Here is a 17,214-nt window from a genome sequence, read left to right as displayed (position 1 = left end):
TGTACAAGGAATTATGCTAGGTATTATACATGCAGATTTTTTTTTTTTTGAGACGGAGTCTTACTCTGTTGCCCAGGTTGGAGTGCAGTGGCATAATCTCAGCTCACTGCAACCTCCGCTTCCTGGGTTCAAGCAATTCTCCTGCCTCAGCCTCCCAAGTAGCTGGGACTACAGGTGCATGCCACCACACCCAGCTAATTTTTGTAGTTTTAGTAGAGATAGGGGTTTCACCATGTTAGCCAGACTGGTCTCGAACCCCTGACCTTAGGTGATCCACCTGCCTTGGCCTCCCAAAGTGCTGGGATTTCAGGTGTGAGCCACTGTGCCCAGCCTGCAGAATTTTTTTTCTTTTTGAGACAGAGTCTCGCTCCGTCACCCAGGCTGGAGTGCAGTGGCGCGATCTGGGCTCACTGTAAGCTCCACCTACCGGGTTCATGCCATTCTCCTGCCTCAGCCTCCTGAGGATCTGGGACTACAGGAGTCCGCCACCACGCCCAGCTAATTTTTTGTATTTTTAGTAGAGACAGGGTTTCACCGTGTTAGCCAGGATAGTCTCAATCTTCTGACCTCGTGATCAGCCCACCTCGGCCTCCGAAAGAGCTGGGATTACAGGCATGAGCCACCGTGCCCGGCCCAGAATATTTTTTAAAGTAAGATGTGATTACTGTCCTCAAGCTTAAAACCTTAGTGAGAAGTTAATATAGATGTACATAAAATAATCAGAGAATGATATGAATGTTACATTGAGTTAGAAATTAAACATTACATTACTGTCCTAAGATGGTAGCCATGAGATGGGTCTTGGGACTCCTCAAATTGTTGTAGGTATTTGCCCCCCATCCTGAGGTCATTTGAAACATAATAAAGTTTATAGCTTTAACACCTCCCCCACCACTCCACCTTACCACCACCTATTAATAGGTCAAGATAGCATTTCACTTGCCTGGTGCAATAATGTGCCTCATATACCGTCTAGCCTCTGAGCTAGGATCTACAACCCCAACTTATAGACTAAGATTCACTTCATTTCAATGACTCAATTCTTCCAGCTGGAAGATCATGAGGAGACTAGGTCTTTAGTTCAAAGAGTCAGTCTCAGCCCTGCTTGGTGGCTCATGCCTGTAATCCCAGCACTTTGGGAGGTGAGGTGGGAGGACTGCTTGAGGCCAGGAGTTGGAGACCAAAGTGGGTAATAAGGTGAGACCCTGTTTCTACCAATCAATCAATCAATCAATAATAAATAAAAGAAACTGGCTGAGACCCTGTCTCAAAAGAAAAGTCTCAAAGGTAATCAGGACTTTGGGGATGGGAAAAGAGTTCCTGACTTATACTTCCCTAGGACTAAATTTCTTGCCAGTAACTTTTCTGCCTCTGAATAGAGTTACAGACCCCAAAATTATCTTGTCACTGGGATCTCTGGTTTCTATGGCCGGGGGTTTTGGATGTCAACTTTCTGTGCACCTGAATCCTGAATCTGTATAAATTGTCCAATGCATCTTAGATTGTTTTTGGAATTTTTTTTTTTTTTTTTGAGACGGAGTCTCACTCTGTCACCCAGGCTGGAGTGCAATAGCGCAATCTTGGCTCACTGCAGCCTCTGCCTCCCAGATTCAAGTGATTCTCCTGCCTCAGCCTCCCGAGTAGCTGGGATTACAAGCGCCTGCCACCACACCCAGCTAATTTTTGTATTTTTAGTAGAGACAGGGTTTCGCCATGTTGCCCAGGCTGGTCTTGAACTCCTAACCTCTAGTGGATCTGCCTGCCTCAGCCTCCCAAAGTGCTGAGATTATAGGCGTGAGCCACCGCGCCCAGCCTATTTTTGGAATTTTTATCATAGTATAAGTAAAAATTTTCTGCCAAGGTCCCAGGGGCTAGTTCTGGCAAAAGAATCACAGGGAAGATTCTACACAGCACACTGGTAGCCTAAGGGTCTCTTATTTCATCATGTGTCTTACTACAAGGCAACAATGAGTGAGAGGCTGCAGCTTTGTGATGAGCTCATAGTCATCAACTGGTTTGTGATAGGAACAGTAACTAAAGAAGATTTCTGCTTTAAGGTTTAAGGGAATGAAAGGGTTATTTCAGGAAGAAGAAGAAAAAAAAACCCACCACAGAATGGATTAGCTAGCAAGGTGACTATCCAGACATGATATGCCTTAGCATTTACATCAGATCAAATAAGATAATGCCCAAATACCCAGCTCAGTTCCTGGCACTCAACAAATATTAGTTCTTTTTTTTTTTGTTTTTTTTTTTTGAGGCAGAACTCTCACTCTGTCACCCAGGCTGGAGTGCAGCCAGTTCTCTTCCTCTTGTATAGAGATTTTACAGTTTACAAACTGCTTCTGCATACATTAAATCCCCCCCGCCCAAAACCTTCTGAATCAGATATTTCCCCCAGAGTAGTGATTTCACCTCCTAAAAGTATTGCAAGGCTGAAAGTCAGATCCAGGTCTTTAGACACCAAAATGAGTTCTCTTTTCTCCATAGCCCAAATCCTTCTATTGCTTTGTCCTAGATTTAAGATTGCAAAGGTTGGATTAGCGTGCTAAGAATGAGATGGAAAAGAAAGAATGATCTGTGAGTTCCTGTGTAGCTGAGGTTATCAGGGCCTTATTATTATATACCTTTATTTGTATTAATAAAATAACAATACTGCATTTTATCTGTCCCAAGAAATATATAGTTATATTGTAATATCTCAGAAATCAAGATGTGTCTTTTTTTTTTTTTTTTGAGACAGTCTTGCTCTGTTGCCTAGGCTGGAGTGCAGTGGCGCGATCTAGGGTCACTGCAACCTCTGCCTCCCAGGTTCAAGCGATTCTCCTGCCTCAGCCTCCCGAGTAGCTGGGATTACAGGTGCCCACCACGACGCCTGGCTAATTTTTGTATTTTTAGTAGAGATGAGGTTTCACCATGTTGGCCAGGCTTGTCTTGAATTCCTGACGTCGTGATCCACGTGCCTTGACCTCCCAAAGTGCTGGGATTACAGACGTGAGCCACCGCGCCCGGCCAAGATGTGTCTTAAAACTGATGTTTTACAGTTGTTTCTTCTGCTCAGCAGTTGTGCTATAGTTGTCATTGTCTTTTTTTTTTTTTTTTTTTTTTTTCTGAGACGGAGTTTCACTCTTGTTGCCCAGGCTGGAGTGCAATGGTGTGATCTCAGCTCACTGCAACCTCTGCCTCCCAGGTTCAAGCAATTCTCCTGCCTCAGCCTCCCGAGTAGCTGGGATTACAGGCATGCACCACCATGCCCGGCTAATTTTGTATTTGTAGTAGAGACGGGGTTTCTCCATGTTGAGGCTGGTCTCGAACTCCTGACCTCAGGTGATCCGCCGGCCTCGGCCACTCAAAGTGCTAGGATTACAGGCATGAGCCACCACACCCAGCCGTCATTGTCTATTCATGCCCAAACTTGATTGATTGTTAATCCTGGTGGCATGACTGGAAAACTGAAACTCATAGCCCTTTCAGTTTGTTCATTTAAGTATCATTTAAGCAAGCTATATGAATCCTACTTGTTGCCTGAAAACCTTTCATTGACACCTTCCTGTAAGATCAAGAAAGCATTAGCATCAAAACTTGCAGACTGGATGTCAGAGACTTGGAAGAAAAACTCAGATAAAAATAGTCTGGCCAGGCACGATGGCTCATGCCTGTAATCCCAGCACTTTGGGAGGCCAAGGCAGGTGGATCACCTGAGGTCAGGGGTTCGAGACCAGGCTGGCCAACATGGTGAAACTTCATCTCTACTAAAAATACAAAAAAAAAAAAAAAATTAGCTGGGCATGGTGGCAGGCACCTGTAATCCCAGCTGCTTGGGAGGCTGAGGCAGGAGAATTGCTTGAACCCGGGAGGTGGAGGTTGCAGTGAGCCGAGATCACACCACTGCACTCCAGCCTTGGTGATTGAGGGAGATTCTGTCTCAAAAACAAACAAACAAAAAAGGTGAAGACCTGAAGACCTGCCTAAGGAACATTACATCACCAGTGCTCTCGAGGCCACACTTGTAATATTATATTGAAAAATACAGACATAGGCCGGGCTTGGTGGCTAATGCCTGTAATCCCAGCACTTTGGGAGGCCAACACAGGTGGATCATCTGAGGTCAAGAGTTCAAGACCAGCCTGGCCAACATGGTGAAACCCTGTCTCCACTAAAAACACAAAAAATTAGCCGGGCCTGGTGGCGCATGCCTGTAATCCCAGCTACTCGGGAGGCTGAGGCAGGAGAATTGCTTGAACCCAGGAGACAGAGGTTGCAGTGAGCTGAGATCATGCCATTGCACTCCAGCCTGGGCAACAAGAGCAAAACTCTGTCTCAAAAAAAAAAAAAAAAAAGGAAGAAAATACAGACATTGATGATTCAGAGTCAAAAGTGATTCAGAGACAGACTCTGAATGTGAAGACATTTTGGACTACCCTACCTAAATAGTTTTCATTATATTTTCCTTTTATTAAAGCACAAGTGTGATATGATAAAAATCAATGTTCAGGTTCAATGAGAATAGTCATATTTGTATATATATGCCTCATAATTTATATAGTCAACTCATTTTGATCATTATAATAACGTTGTGACATTAGTAGCAAAATATTATCTCCAATTTTACCTCTGGGAAAAATAAGGCAGATTAAATACTCAACCATGGAATCAGGACTCATCCTAATTAAGTCTCATCCTAATTAAATCTTCTAGAATAAGCCTAAAATCCTTCTTTTCCCTCTAAAATTTCAAGACTTGTATCAATTTTAGAGCCACTGTTTGTTTCTTTCTGAGAGCCACTGTTTTTATTTTATTTATTTATTTTTTTGAGACTGAGTTTTGCTTTTATCGCCCAGGCTGGAGTACAATGGCGTGATCTCAGCTCACTGCAACCTCCGCCTCCTGGATTCAAGTGATTCTCCTGCTTCAGCTTCCTGAGTAGCTGGGATTATAGGTGGCCGCCACCACACCCAGCTAATTTTTGTGTTTTTAGTAGAGATGGGTTTTCACCATGTTTGCAGGCTGGTCTCAAACTCCTGACCTCAGGTGATCCACCTACCTTGGCCTCCCAAAGTGCTAGGATTACAGGCATGAGCCACCACGCCCGGCCGAGAACCACTGTTTTTAAAAAATTGAGCAAATTTGGTGAGATTGATGATAATATAATTCGGAATGAATACTGAACATGACTCCTTTTTGGCAAGGGAAGTCAACTATCAGAATTGTAACAAATCACTATTACACACAGCCTAGTACTTTGCATAGCAAAGTACATAAAAGGTACTAAATAAATAATAGGAGTTGTATTACTCAGGGCAATTAACACTGACTATCCCAGCAGTCAGACTCTAAATCCTCAGTGGTTTAAACAACAAACATTTATATCTCACACATGTCATCTATCTAGCACAGGTTGGCAAGCAGTGAAAGTTCAGTGTTGCTCAACTCCTCACCTTCACTCAGTGCTATGGTTTGAATGTTTGTGTCCCCTCCAAAATTCATGTAGGAACTTAATGCCCAAAGTTATATTAACTATTAAAAGGTGGGACCTTTATGAGGTGAGTAAGTCATGAGTGCTCCACCCTCATGAATGGAATTAATGCTTTATAAGGGAGGCTTTACACAGCATTTCTCTCTTTTTACCCTTCCATCCCTTCCACGATGTGAGGACGAGGAGCCACTGGAAGCACAGACATCAAACTAGAATAGACTAGACTAGATATCAGACCTATTGTTGCCTTCATTTTGGAAATCTCAGCCTCCAGAACTGTAAAAAATGCATTTCTATTATTTATACATTACCCATTCTCAGGGTTTTTGTTTGTTTGTTTTTTGTTTTTTTGAGATAGTCTCGCTTTGTTGCTTAGGCTGGAGTACAGTGGTGCTCACTGCAACCTCCGCCTCCCCGGTTCAAGCAGTTCTTTTGCCTCAGCCTTCCCAGTAGTTGGGATTACAGGTGTGTGCCACTATGCCCAGCTAATTTTTTGTATTTTTAGTAGAGACAGGGTTTTGCCATGTTGGCCAGGCTGGTCTCGAACTTCTGGCCTCAGGTGATCCACCTGCCTCGGCCTCCCAAAGTGCTAGGATTACAGGCATGAATCACCGTGCCCTTTGGGAGGCCAAGATGGGTGGATAACCTATGGTCAGGAGTTCCAGACCAGCCTGGCCAATATGGTGAAACCCTATCTCTACTAAAGTACAATACTTCCTCAGATGGAAATGAGGAAAATGGTATTAGAAACTGGAGGAAAAGCCATTCTTGTGGCAAAGAACTTGACTGAATTGTTTCTGTGTCCTAACGTTTTATGAATGGCAGAACTTGTGAGTGATGAACCAGGATATTTGGCAGAATTATCTGAGCAAAGTGTTGAAGGTTCTGCATGGCTTCTTTTGATTGCTTATAGTAAAATGTAAGAAGGGAGAAATGAATTAAAGATAGAACTAAAAGGGAAGCAGAAGATTTGGAAACTTCTCAGCCTGGTGTTAAAGAAAAATCTGAGGCACAAGAGTTTATTTGAGTGAGATGCAATTCATGAGTTGGGGAACACCAGACTAAAAGAAGTTTAGTGTCCCAATGATGAAATGTCAGGTATTTATTGGGAAAATGGAGAAGCAAAATAAATTATTTGATTGGCTTCCAATTACAAAATTCCTTTTTTTAGGTACTTGTTGGCAAGCCCCTAATCACATAATCATACTTATCATGGCTGGGGTTGAGTTTTAGTTTTGTCTAGCATGAACCATCAGAAATTACCCAACTTAAGTTTTTGCAGTTTAAGCAAGATTTAGGTTATTTTTTATTTTATTTTTTAATTTTTTTGAGACAGAGTCTCTCTCTGTCGCCCAGGCTTCAGTGCAGTGGTGCGATGTCGGCTCACTGCAAGCTCTACCTCCCAGGTTCACGCCATTCTCCTGCCTCAGCCTCCAGAGTAGCTGGGACTACAGGCACCCGCCATGACGCCCAGCTAATTTTTTTGTATTTTTAGTAGAGACGGGGTTTCACCGTGTTAGCCAGGATGGAGATTCAGGTTATTTTTAAGGCCTCTGGTTTTGTCTGCTCAAAAAGTTTTCTGGCCAAGTCTCCATTTTAATTTAAACACTGGCAGGGTTGCAAAGCATATTTCAGAAAGCATACCAAGGATGTGGCCAAGAGGCTATTTGATAAAATTAATAGGGATAGGAGGAAGCCAGATGCTATTCTCAGGACAATGGAACAATGACCCTGAAGGCATTTCAGAGATCTCTGAGGCTGCTACTCCCATCACAGGCCCAGAGTGCTAGTGCCTTGAGGGAAGAAAGGCTTCAAAGGAGGGACCTTGGGGCTCTCAATATTGCCTCAAGTCTGTTCCCTGCATTCAGGTGCAGAACTCCTTGGCTGCCCCAGCTGTGGTTCAAGTGGGCCCAAGTGAGGCTTGGGCTGCTGCTCCAGGAGGCACAAGCGATAAACTTCAGTGGGATCCTTGTGCTGCCAGCTCTGCAGGCATGCAGACTGCAACACTTGTGGAGGCATTGCTACCTCCACCTAGATTTCAAAGGCTCTCTCTGAAAGCCTCAGGGCCCAGGTAGAGAGCTGCCAGGGATACTGCAGAGAACCTCCACTAGGCAATGTCAAATGGAGTTGTGGGTTAAGGCCATTGTAGAGAGCCCTGTCAAGTACAGTATCTAGTGGGGCCATGGGGAAGGGTCAGCTCTACTCCCCCAACCCCTGGCAAGACCCAAAACCTAGAGAGCCACCAGTGTGCAGCATCAGTCAGGGAGAGCTGCAGCATGGGCTATGCCCAGTGATGCCATAGGAATGCAGCTGTCCAGGGCTTTGGGGGCCCAACCCTCACCCCAGGGTGTCCAGAAGGTCGCACATAGAGTCAAAGATTGTTTTTCTGAAGCTTCAAGATTTAAAGTTTGCCTTGTTGGATTTTGGACTTACTTGAGACCTGTTACCCATTTCTTCTTGCCTATTGCTCCCTTTTAGAATGGGAATGTCTGTCGTATGCCTGTACACCATTGTATTTTGGAAGCACATAACTTGATTTCACAGGCTCACAACGGGAGAGGAATTTGCCTCATGATGAATTGTACCTTGAGTCACATCCAAATGTTATGAAGATGATATTTAGATGAGACTTCAGAGTCAGACTCTAAAGTTGATGCTGGAACAAGTTAAGACTTTTGATGTTATTGGGATGGAATGATTATATTTTGTAAGTAAGAAGGACATATATTTTGGGGGGCCAGGGGTGGAATTCTACAGTTTGTGTCTCCTCCAAAACTCATATTGAAATTTAATCTACAATGAAACACTCTTTAAGAGGTAGGGCCTTCAGAGGGTAGGCCCTGAGGGCTCCACTCTCACAGTGCTTTAGAAGAGGACTTGAGGGGGTGGGTTTGCCCCTTCTGTCTCTTCCTCCATGTAAGGACACAGATTTCAGACCCTCTGAAAAATGCAGCAACAAGGCATTATCTACTAGTGGCTTGATATTGGACTTTGCAGACTCCAGAACTGTGAGAAACGAATTCCTATTATTTGTAAATTATCTAGTCTTAGGTATGTTGCTATAGCAGCACAAACGGACTATGAGACTCAGTAACCAAAATGACTCAAATTATATCTTGTGGCTGAACCATGTGGAATATTAACCTCTGGGGTTGTGTGACAGGTAATAACAGGGTTGGGGAGCACATTAGCTTATACCTTCCTCAGCCTAAAAATGATACATGTCATTTCCTTGATAGGCCATTAGCTTGCTGTAATCACATGATCCAAACCTAACTGTAAGGGATGCTGGGAAAAGCAGGGGAGCAGTGGAATATTTGATGAGTACTGTTTATACAACAGCAGTTCTATAAATATTTCCTTGAGGGCAAGAATCTGTTTTATTTACTGATATTCCCAAACATCTAGAAAAGTGCCTGACATTTAGTGTTCACTAATAATTACTGAATCAATTAATTGATGAATTAATAAATGGCATGTGAAGCTGGTATGAATCTATTCTGAAAAGTTGCCAGATAGAATGATATGCAAGTTCAGGTTAATATTTCAGCAACAATTAGTGTTAACAAGAAAAAGGTATTTTGGTAAGAATTTATTTGAAGTTGACTAACATTCTCAAATGTAGTTACAGATTACATAACATCTTTTTTACAGGAGCTTAACAGTTCTTTAAATTGACAAAAATGTGAGGAAAGACAACAGTTAATTCTAAAAGCCAGTTTGGATTTTTTGTTTCATTTAAAAACAAACAGCCTGTGGCCGGGCACGGTGGCTCACACTTGTAATCCCAGCACGTTGGGAGGCCAAGGTGGGCAGATTACAAGGTCAGGAGTTCGAGACCAGCCTGGCCAACATGGTGACACCCCATCTCTACTAAAATTACAAAAATTAGCTGGGCGTGGTGGTGCGCACCTGTAGTCCCAGCTCCTCGGGAGGCTGAGGCAGAAGAATCGCTTGAACCCAGGAGGCGGAGGTTGCAGTGAGCCGAGATCGCGCCACTGTACTCCAGCCTGGGCCACACAGTGAGACCCTGTCTCAAAAAAGAAAACAAAATGAACAGCCTGCAGTCTTCCTAGAAATGACTGTTTAGGGAGTTGGGAACAGCTTGCCATGGAGAGAATTTAAGATTGTCATAATAGGAAAAGGTAAGGAGTAGCGAGGTAGGGGGAAACATTCAATAAACAGCAGTCCTTTTCACTCTAATAGAAAAACCTGTTCTCAGTTTTACCAGCATATTTAGAAAGGCACAAAGAGTTCAATATTGGAGTTTTCAGAAAGGAATCTCAAAGTGATTATGAGATGTAATCATTCATCTTTCATTCATCATCCAAATAGGTACAAAGCACAATGCCCAAGATTGTGCTAAGAATCGAGGTGCAAAAGATAGGATTTCTATGCTAATGAAACTTCTAGTCTAATTGGGAAGATAGACATTGAACAACTATTACAATAAGCGTGACATTGGTTGCAAAAAGGGAAGTGCCAGGTGCTATAAAGTGACAGACTGGGGAACTACGGGTTTTGGGCAGTAGAAAAGTAGGATCTGAAACAATCTCAAGAAATTGATGTTTCAACTTAACTCCAAAAGATAAGGACGATTTATTTGGCAATGGAAAAGTGAGGGGAAGACAACTCCAGACGGTGGGAATAGCCTGTCCTCACAACCCTACTATGAAGTCACACAGGATTACATGCTTAATTATATAGCTGGAGAAGTTGCAGAAGAAGAAAGTGACTTGTTCAAGGGACACTGTTTAACAGGGCACTTAATTAGGACCATAGGCCGCATTCCTAACCTTTTTAGGGCAAGGCACACAATTCTCTTTCTAAGGAAGACTCTCTTTCCTCACCAAAATAGTAGCTGAGTCAATCACTCCTATAGCCCATCAGGCACATCAACCAAGCATGAGCTATACTGATATAAAAGATATCAATTTATAATCTGTCCCACAGCTTTCAGGATGAGAACTAAAGAGCCCTAAAGGTCTCTCATGTAGGAAGAGGGTGGTGTGTAGTGGCAGAGAGGGAAGCTTCATCAGTGAGAGCCAAGTGCTAAAAGCAGCTGCGTGTGACATTTCCGTCAGCAGTCCTTCCTCCCTCATTGTGTATGAGACACACATCAGATGCTCTGGTTTATGATTTCAGCTTCAGAGTACATACCCTTTGAGATCCAAGCTCACATATCTCTTCCGGTGGCATGGTGCCTTTTTATTAACTGGCTTTAAAACCCATCTCGGAGTAGTAACTACCCAAATGCTGAGAATATTGGGACCCCTTTCTCCTACCCTCATGGTTTGGAAACGTGTGGACTGGTTGACTCTCAGGCCCTAGGTGCCTGCCTAGTCTCCCTGCTTGCTAGAAAGTGACAAAGCACATGCTACCAAAAAGATTCTGCACAGATGCCAGAATCATGTCAGAACACAAGGTCACATACAGTACTGTCTTCCCCATTTATATCAGCCCAGAGGACAATCTACTCTCTTACCTTTGGAAGACAAAATAGAGGCTAACTTTTGGAGGTCCTAGGTAAGCACCACTTTATTTTTCATTTTCCTTTATTTTTTTGAGACAGAGTCTCACTCTGTCACCCAGGCTGGAGTACAGTGGCACCATCTCTGCAACCTCTACCTCCTGAGTTCAAGTGATTCTCCTGCCTCAGCCTCCCAAGAGTAGCTGGGATTACAGGCGTGGGCCACATGCCTGGTTAATTTTTGTATTTTTTTTTTAACCTTCAGGAACAATTTATTCCATTTTCTAGGAGTTACTCTCTGACTTCTGTCTTTCATTTGGCCCTGTAGTAAATGCTGTAATGTTCTGTTCAGGTGAGAACAATCCCAAGAGACAAAAAGGAGACAGATTTCAAATCGGCTTTGCCCTCCAATGGGAAATTTAAGGACAAGTATTGCTGACTCAGAGAAAAAAATGTCTTTTTTTGCCTTAAGTACTCATCTCCTCCCTGGTTAATATAATAACTTTTTATAAATATGACTTCAAAAATCCATTAAAGGAAATCTTAGTACCTGTAAAGAATGTAACATATTCTGATATGTGAGATTTCTTTTTATTATTATACTTTAATTTCTAGGGTACATGTGCACAACGTGCAGGTTTGTTACATATGTATACATGTGCCATGTTGGTGTGCTGCACCCATTAACCCATCATTTACATTAGGTATTTCTCTTAATGCTATCCCTCCCAATTTTTGTATTTTTAGCAGAGACAGAGTTTCGCCATGATGGCCAGGCTGGTCTCAAACTCCTGGCCTGGCCTCAAGTGATCCGCCTGCCTGGGCCTCCCAAAGTGCCAGGATTACAGGCATGAGACACTGCAGCTGGCCAGCATTTAATTAGGTAGATCAGATTTAGGGAAGGTCAAGTTTTTGCCCTTTCATATTGTGTTTACTCCCCCAGGTAAATTAAAGTAGGAAAAATCCATTATTTACGGCTGGGCGTGGTGGCTCACGCCTATAATCCCAACACTTTGGGAGAATTGCTTGAACCCGGGAGGCGGAGGTTGTAGTGAGCTGAGATCGTGCCACTGCACTCCAGCCTGGGCAACAAGAACAAAACTCTGCCTCAAAAAAAAAAAAAAAAAAGAAAAATCTATTATTTACAGGGGAGATAGAGGAAAGTCCTTATAGGCTTTTGCTTCTTTGATTTGATAGCACAGATCCTGATTTCACTGAGATGCCAGCAAATGAAAAGATAAGGTTGCATACTGACTTGTCTCTAAAACTTTAAAAGTTCCTGATACAGTTCCTCATTTCAAAATGTATTACTTTAGAGATTTCTGTTATGTATTTGTGTTGAAATCTGTTACTTGCTTCCAAAAGTGCTTGGTCATATAATCTCTCAGATTACTTCCCCAAATTATCCCAATACTTCTCAAATTATCTCAATGGTAATGAAAACCATTGGAAAATAAATGTCAGAGTTTTCTTTTTTTTTTTTTTTTTGAGACAGAATCTTGCTCTGTCACCCAGGTTGGAGTGCAGTGGTGCGATCTCACTGCAACTGCCTCACGAGTTCAAGCGATTCTCTTGCCTCAGCCTCCTGAGTAGCTGGGATTACAGGCATGTACATCGATGCCCAGCTCATTTTTGTATTTTTAGTAGAGATGAAGTTTTGCCATGTTGGCCAGGCTGGTCTCTAACTCCTGACTTCAGGTGATCCATCTGCCTTGGCCTCCCAAAGTGTTAGGATTACAGGCATGAGCCACCGTGCCCAGCTAAAGAGTTTTCTTTTCTTTTTCTTGTTTTTTTTGAGATGGAGTCTCATTCTGTCACCGAGGCTGGAGTGCAATGGCTCGATCTCTGCTCACTGCAAGCTCTGCCTCCTGGGTTCATGCCATTCTCCTGCCTCAGCCTCCCAAGTAGCTGGGACTACAGGCACCCACCACCAAGGCCGGCTAATTTTTTTTATTTTTAGTACAGACGGGGTTTCACCGTGTTAGCCAGGATGGTCTCGATCTCCTGACCTCGTGAGCCACCAGCCTTGGCCTCCCAAAGTGCTGGGATTACAGGCGTGAGCCACCGCGCTCGGCTGCCAAGAGTTTTCTTTTTAATAAACAAAATTATAATAATGACAATAATCTGTTCTGAACTAAACGGCAGCAGTGTCTGAACACCAAGACTGTTTGCTTTATTAATAGGTGGCCACATTTTGTTTTGTCTCAGGAATCTGTTCATAACCAGATATTAGACAGAATTTTGGATTATTTGAATGATGGGTTGGCTCTGGAAGGAGCATGCTAAAGTTGGGTGAGGCTATATAAGGGCTTCTTAGTCCACATTATTTCTCAAACCTCCATAAGTACATATATGTCTGGAGTAATAGTAACTATTTCTTAGTTTATGGCAAGGTAACGTCTGGTAAAATCCATTCATTTAGTCTACAAATATTCAAAGAAAACCTACTATATTCATTGTACTGATGAATAAGATACGATTCCTGACTTATATGTATAATTTCGTAGAGACTATTATATACTAGACTGAACTCCAAGGTCAGGGTTTAGGTCTGTTTCAATTTCCATTTTATATCCAGGGATAGCACAGAATCAGCCTCATGGTAGGAGCTCAATAAATAACTGGTTGAACAGGCCAAGCGTGGTGGTTCACACCTGTGATCCCAGCACTTTGGGAGGCCGAGGCAGGTGCGTCACTTAAGGTCAGGAGTTGGAGAACCAGCCTGGCCAACATGGTGAAACCGCGTTTCTACTAAATAAATCCAAAAATTAGCCAGGCGTGGTGGTGTGTGCCTGTAATCCCAGGACTCGGGAGGCTGAGGCAGGAGAATCTCTTGAACCTGGGAGGCAGAGGTTGCAGTGAGCCAAGATCGCACCTTTGCACTCCAGCCTTGGCAACCAGAGTGAAACTCCATCTCAAAAAAAAAATTAGTTTAATGTCTAAATATATGAACAAAAATGTACATGATGTTAGCTTTCTAACACAAAGATGTATACCATTTTTTGACAACGACATTTTGTTTGTTAATCAAAATTACATCAAACATTTCTAACATCAGCCATCAATAACCCATACTTTAGCCAGGCCTGTGGGAAGTTAATTTTAATTTTTACTTCCTTTTCTTTTCTTTTTTTTTTCTGAGATGGAGTCTGGCTCTGTTGCCCAGGCTGGAGTGCAGTGGTGCAATCTCAGCTCACTGCAACCTCCTCCTCCTGGGTTCAAGCAATTCTCCTGCCTCAACCTCCCGAGTAGCTGGGATTACAGACATGCGCCACCATACCTAGCTAATTTTTGTATTTTTAGTGGGGACGGGATTTCACCATGTTGGTCAGGCTGGACTCAAAGTCCTGACCTCATGATCCACCAGCCTCGGCCTCCCAAATTGCTGGGATTTACAGGCACGAGCCACCGTTCCTGGACCATTTTTACTTCTTGTAATCAGACTGTGGCCTTCAGGGAAATTAACACTGGGGAAAAAAGGATGATGTTTGAAAGAAAGGGATATTTAAATCAACACTATGAAGTTTTATTTAGAGGTTTTATTTAAAACATGCTATTCTGAAGACAACTACAAAGTGTGTGCATGGTGGGGTTTTTTCATTTTATTTTATTTTATTTTTTTTGGCAAATGCCAATTCAAAAATAGGAAGAGGCTGTGGGCAGAGTGGCTCCCGCCTGCAATTCCAATGTTTCAGGAGGCCGAGGCAAGAAGATTCATTGAGGTTATGAGTTCAAGACAAGCCTGGGAAACATAGTGAGTCCCCTTATCTACAAAAAATTTTAAAAATTAGCTGGGCATGGTGGTGTCTTCCTGTAGTCCTAGCCCCGCAGAAGGTTGAAGTGGGAGAACTGCTTGAGCCTAGGAGTTTGAGGTTACAGTGGGGTATGATCATGCCACTGCACTCCAGCGTGAGCGACAGAGCGAGACCCTGTCTCCAAAAAAAAAAAAGAAAAGAAAAGCCATGTCACCATGCTATTTAAGATATAGCTTTTCTCTTTCTCTTTATCCTAAACATTTTCTATCTCTTTTTTCAGACTTAAAAGAGCTCTACTTGCCAGCTCCTGCATTATACATAAATAGAAAGGAAGAAAGATGAGCTAAAGATCCTGGAAAGTAGAAAATCCAATTGTTATTCTGGATTCTAAACATTACCTGTGTGGCCTTGGATAAACTTGAATCTTTTCATATATAAAACAAAGGAAGTTGAATTAAATTATTTCTAACCCACCCTCCAGTTGAATATTCTATGATTTCATCTGACAAACCCTCCCTCTTTTCATCCTTGTTGTGTGTGAAATGCTCCATCACTCATCACAGATGCTTAAAATAAAATAGCTCTCTCTCTGTATAGAATGTCTGCCTTTTTTTCTCCAGATAGTCATGGCACCATGTTGACATTTTAAAGATCCAAATGAAGAGACAAAGAAGGAAATAAATAACCCCCTATAATCCTATCACCAAAGGATTTTGTTATAATCTAATATTGCCTTTGTGTTCATTTTATGCATATTTCTTTTAAAAAAATTGTGATCACTTTCTATTTAGTGTTTTGAAATCTGTTTTTCTTTTTGTTTTGAGACAGGGTCTTACTCTGTTGCCTATGCTGGAGTGCAGTGGTGCAATCATGGCACACTGCAGCCTTGACCTCCCCAAGCTCAGGTGACTCCCTGTATCCCGAGTAGCTGGGAATACAGGCATGCACCAGCATGCCTGGCTAATTTTTGCATTTTTGTAGAGAAGGTTTCACCATGTTGCCCAGACTGGTCTTGAATTCCTGGGATCAAGCAATCTGCCTGCCTCAGCCTCCCAAAGTGCTGGGATTACAGGCGTGAGCCACCATGCCTGGCCCAATTTTTGTATTTTTAGTAGAGACAAGGTTTCACCATGTTGGCCAGGATCGTCTCTATCTCTGGACCTCGTGATCCGCCCACCTAGGCCTCCCAAAGTGCTTGGATTACAGGCGTGAGCCATCAGGCCTGGCTTTTTTTTTTTTTTTGAGACGAAGTCTCGCTCTTGTTGTCCAGGCTGGAGTGCAAGGGCGTGATCTCGGCTCACCACAACCTCTGCCTCCTGGGTTCAAGCGATTCCCCTGCCTCAGCTTCCTGAGTAGCTGGGATTACAGGCGTGCGCCGCCACGCCACGCCTTCTAATTTTGTATTTTTAGTAGAGATGGGGTTTTTCCATGTTGGTCAGGCTGGTCTTGAACTGCTGACCTCAGGTGATCTGCCCGCCTCAGCCTCTCAAAGTGCTGGAATTACAGGCATGAGCCACCACGCCCAGCCAATAAAATATTTTTAATAAAAGATTAATACTTGGTTAATTTATTCATTGAAACATTAACAAACCTTAAACATTGGTAGGTTAATATTGGACAAATTGGAAGAATATTAGCACATTGACAGTATTCCTTTTTTTTGAGATGGAGTCTCACTCTGTTGCCCAGGCTGGAGTGCAGTGGCACAATCGCAGCTCAAGGCAACCTCCACCTCCCGGGTTCAAGCAATTCTTCTGCCTCAGCCTCCCAAATAGCTATTACAGGTGCCTGCCACCACGTGTGGCTAATTTTTCTGTGTGTATTTTTAGTAGAGACGGTGTTTCACCATGTTGGCCAGGCTGGTCTTGAACTCCTGACCTCAAGTGATTCGCCTACCTCGGTCTCATAAAGTGCTGGGTTTACAGGCATGAGCAACTGCGCCTGGCCAATATTATATTTTTAAATGTAAAACTACTAGGATTCGAATATCAAAACTGTGGTGGCAGAAAAAAGCATTTACATTCACTTGCATATCCCTAGAATTGGACTCATTAGATAACATTGGCTTACTAGCTAGGTAAGTAAAAGGTAAATACTTTGGAAGTGGCTACCTTCATTAGAACTTTTTAGCCCTTAGAAGAAAAACCAATCCAGAAAAACTGGAAACCTACAGAACCCCCTTGCTGGGCTCTGACTTACTGGCTAAGCAGGTTATTGTTGATAGTTGACCATTCAAAAGAACAACTTGTAACATGTTAGCCATGTGTTAAATAACAATGCACATCTTCACATAATTTATTGCCCCTTTACCTTGTTCTGAGACTTTATTCTTTTCTAAGCCTGTATTTATTATAACTCTTTTAATTTTTTTTTTTTTTTTTGAGACAGAGTCTTACTCTGTTGCACGGGCTGGAGTGCAGTGATCCAATCTCGGCTCATTGCAACCTCTGCCTCCCGGGTTCAAGCGATTCTTCTGCCTCAGCCTCCTGAGTAGCTGGGATTACAGGTGCACG

At 42.8% G+C, this 17,214-nt stretch overlaps 1 long non-coding RNA gene across 2 annotated transcripts; it reads left to right on the top strand.

Moving 5' to 3' along the window:
- Nucleotides 1-4,328: 4,328 nt before the first annotated feature.
- On the top strand, nt 4,329-15,295 carry LOC107985189 (uncharacterized). Of its 2 annotated transcripts, none has more exons than XR_001738193.2 (2): nt 4,329-11,002; nt 14,982-15,295. It is a non-coding gene; the product is annotated as an uncharacterized LOC107985189 (long non-coding RNA). The 2 variants fall into 2 exon arrangements; XR_001738194.3 differs by lacking the exon at nt 4,329-11,002 and adding an exon at nt 14,193-14,700.
- Nucleotides 15,296-17,214: the final 1,919 nt, after the last annotated feature.

Source organism: Homo sapiens, chromosome 1, assembly GCF_000001405.40.
Source record: "Homo sapiens chromosome 1, GRCh38.p14 Primary Assembly".
Classification (NCBI taxonomy): domain Eukaryota; kingdom Metazoa; phylum Chordata; class Mammalia; order Primates; family Hominidae; genus Homo; species Homo sapiens.
The sequence above is the reverse complement of the archived record's forward strand: the minus strand, read 5'-3'. Positions and strand labels throughout refer to the sequence as shown.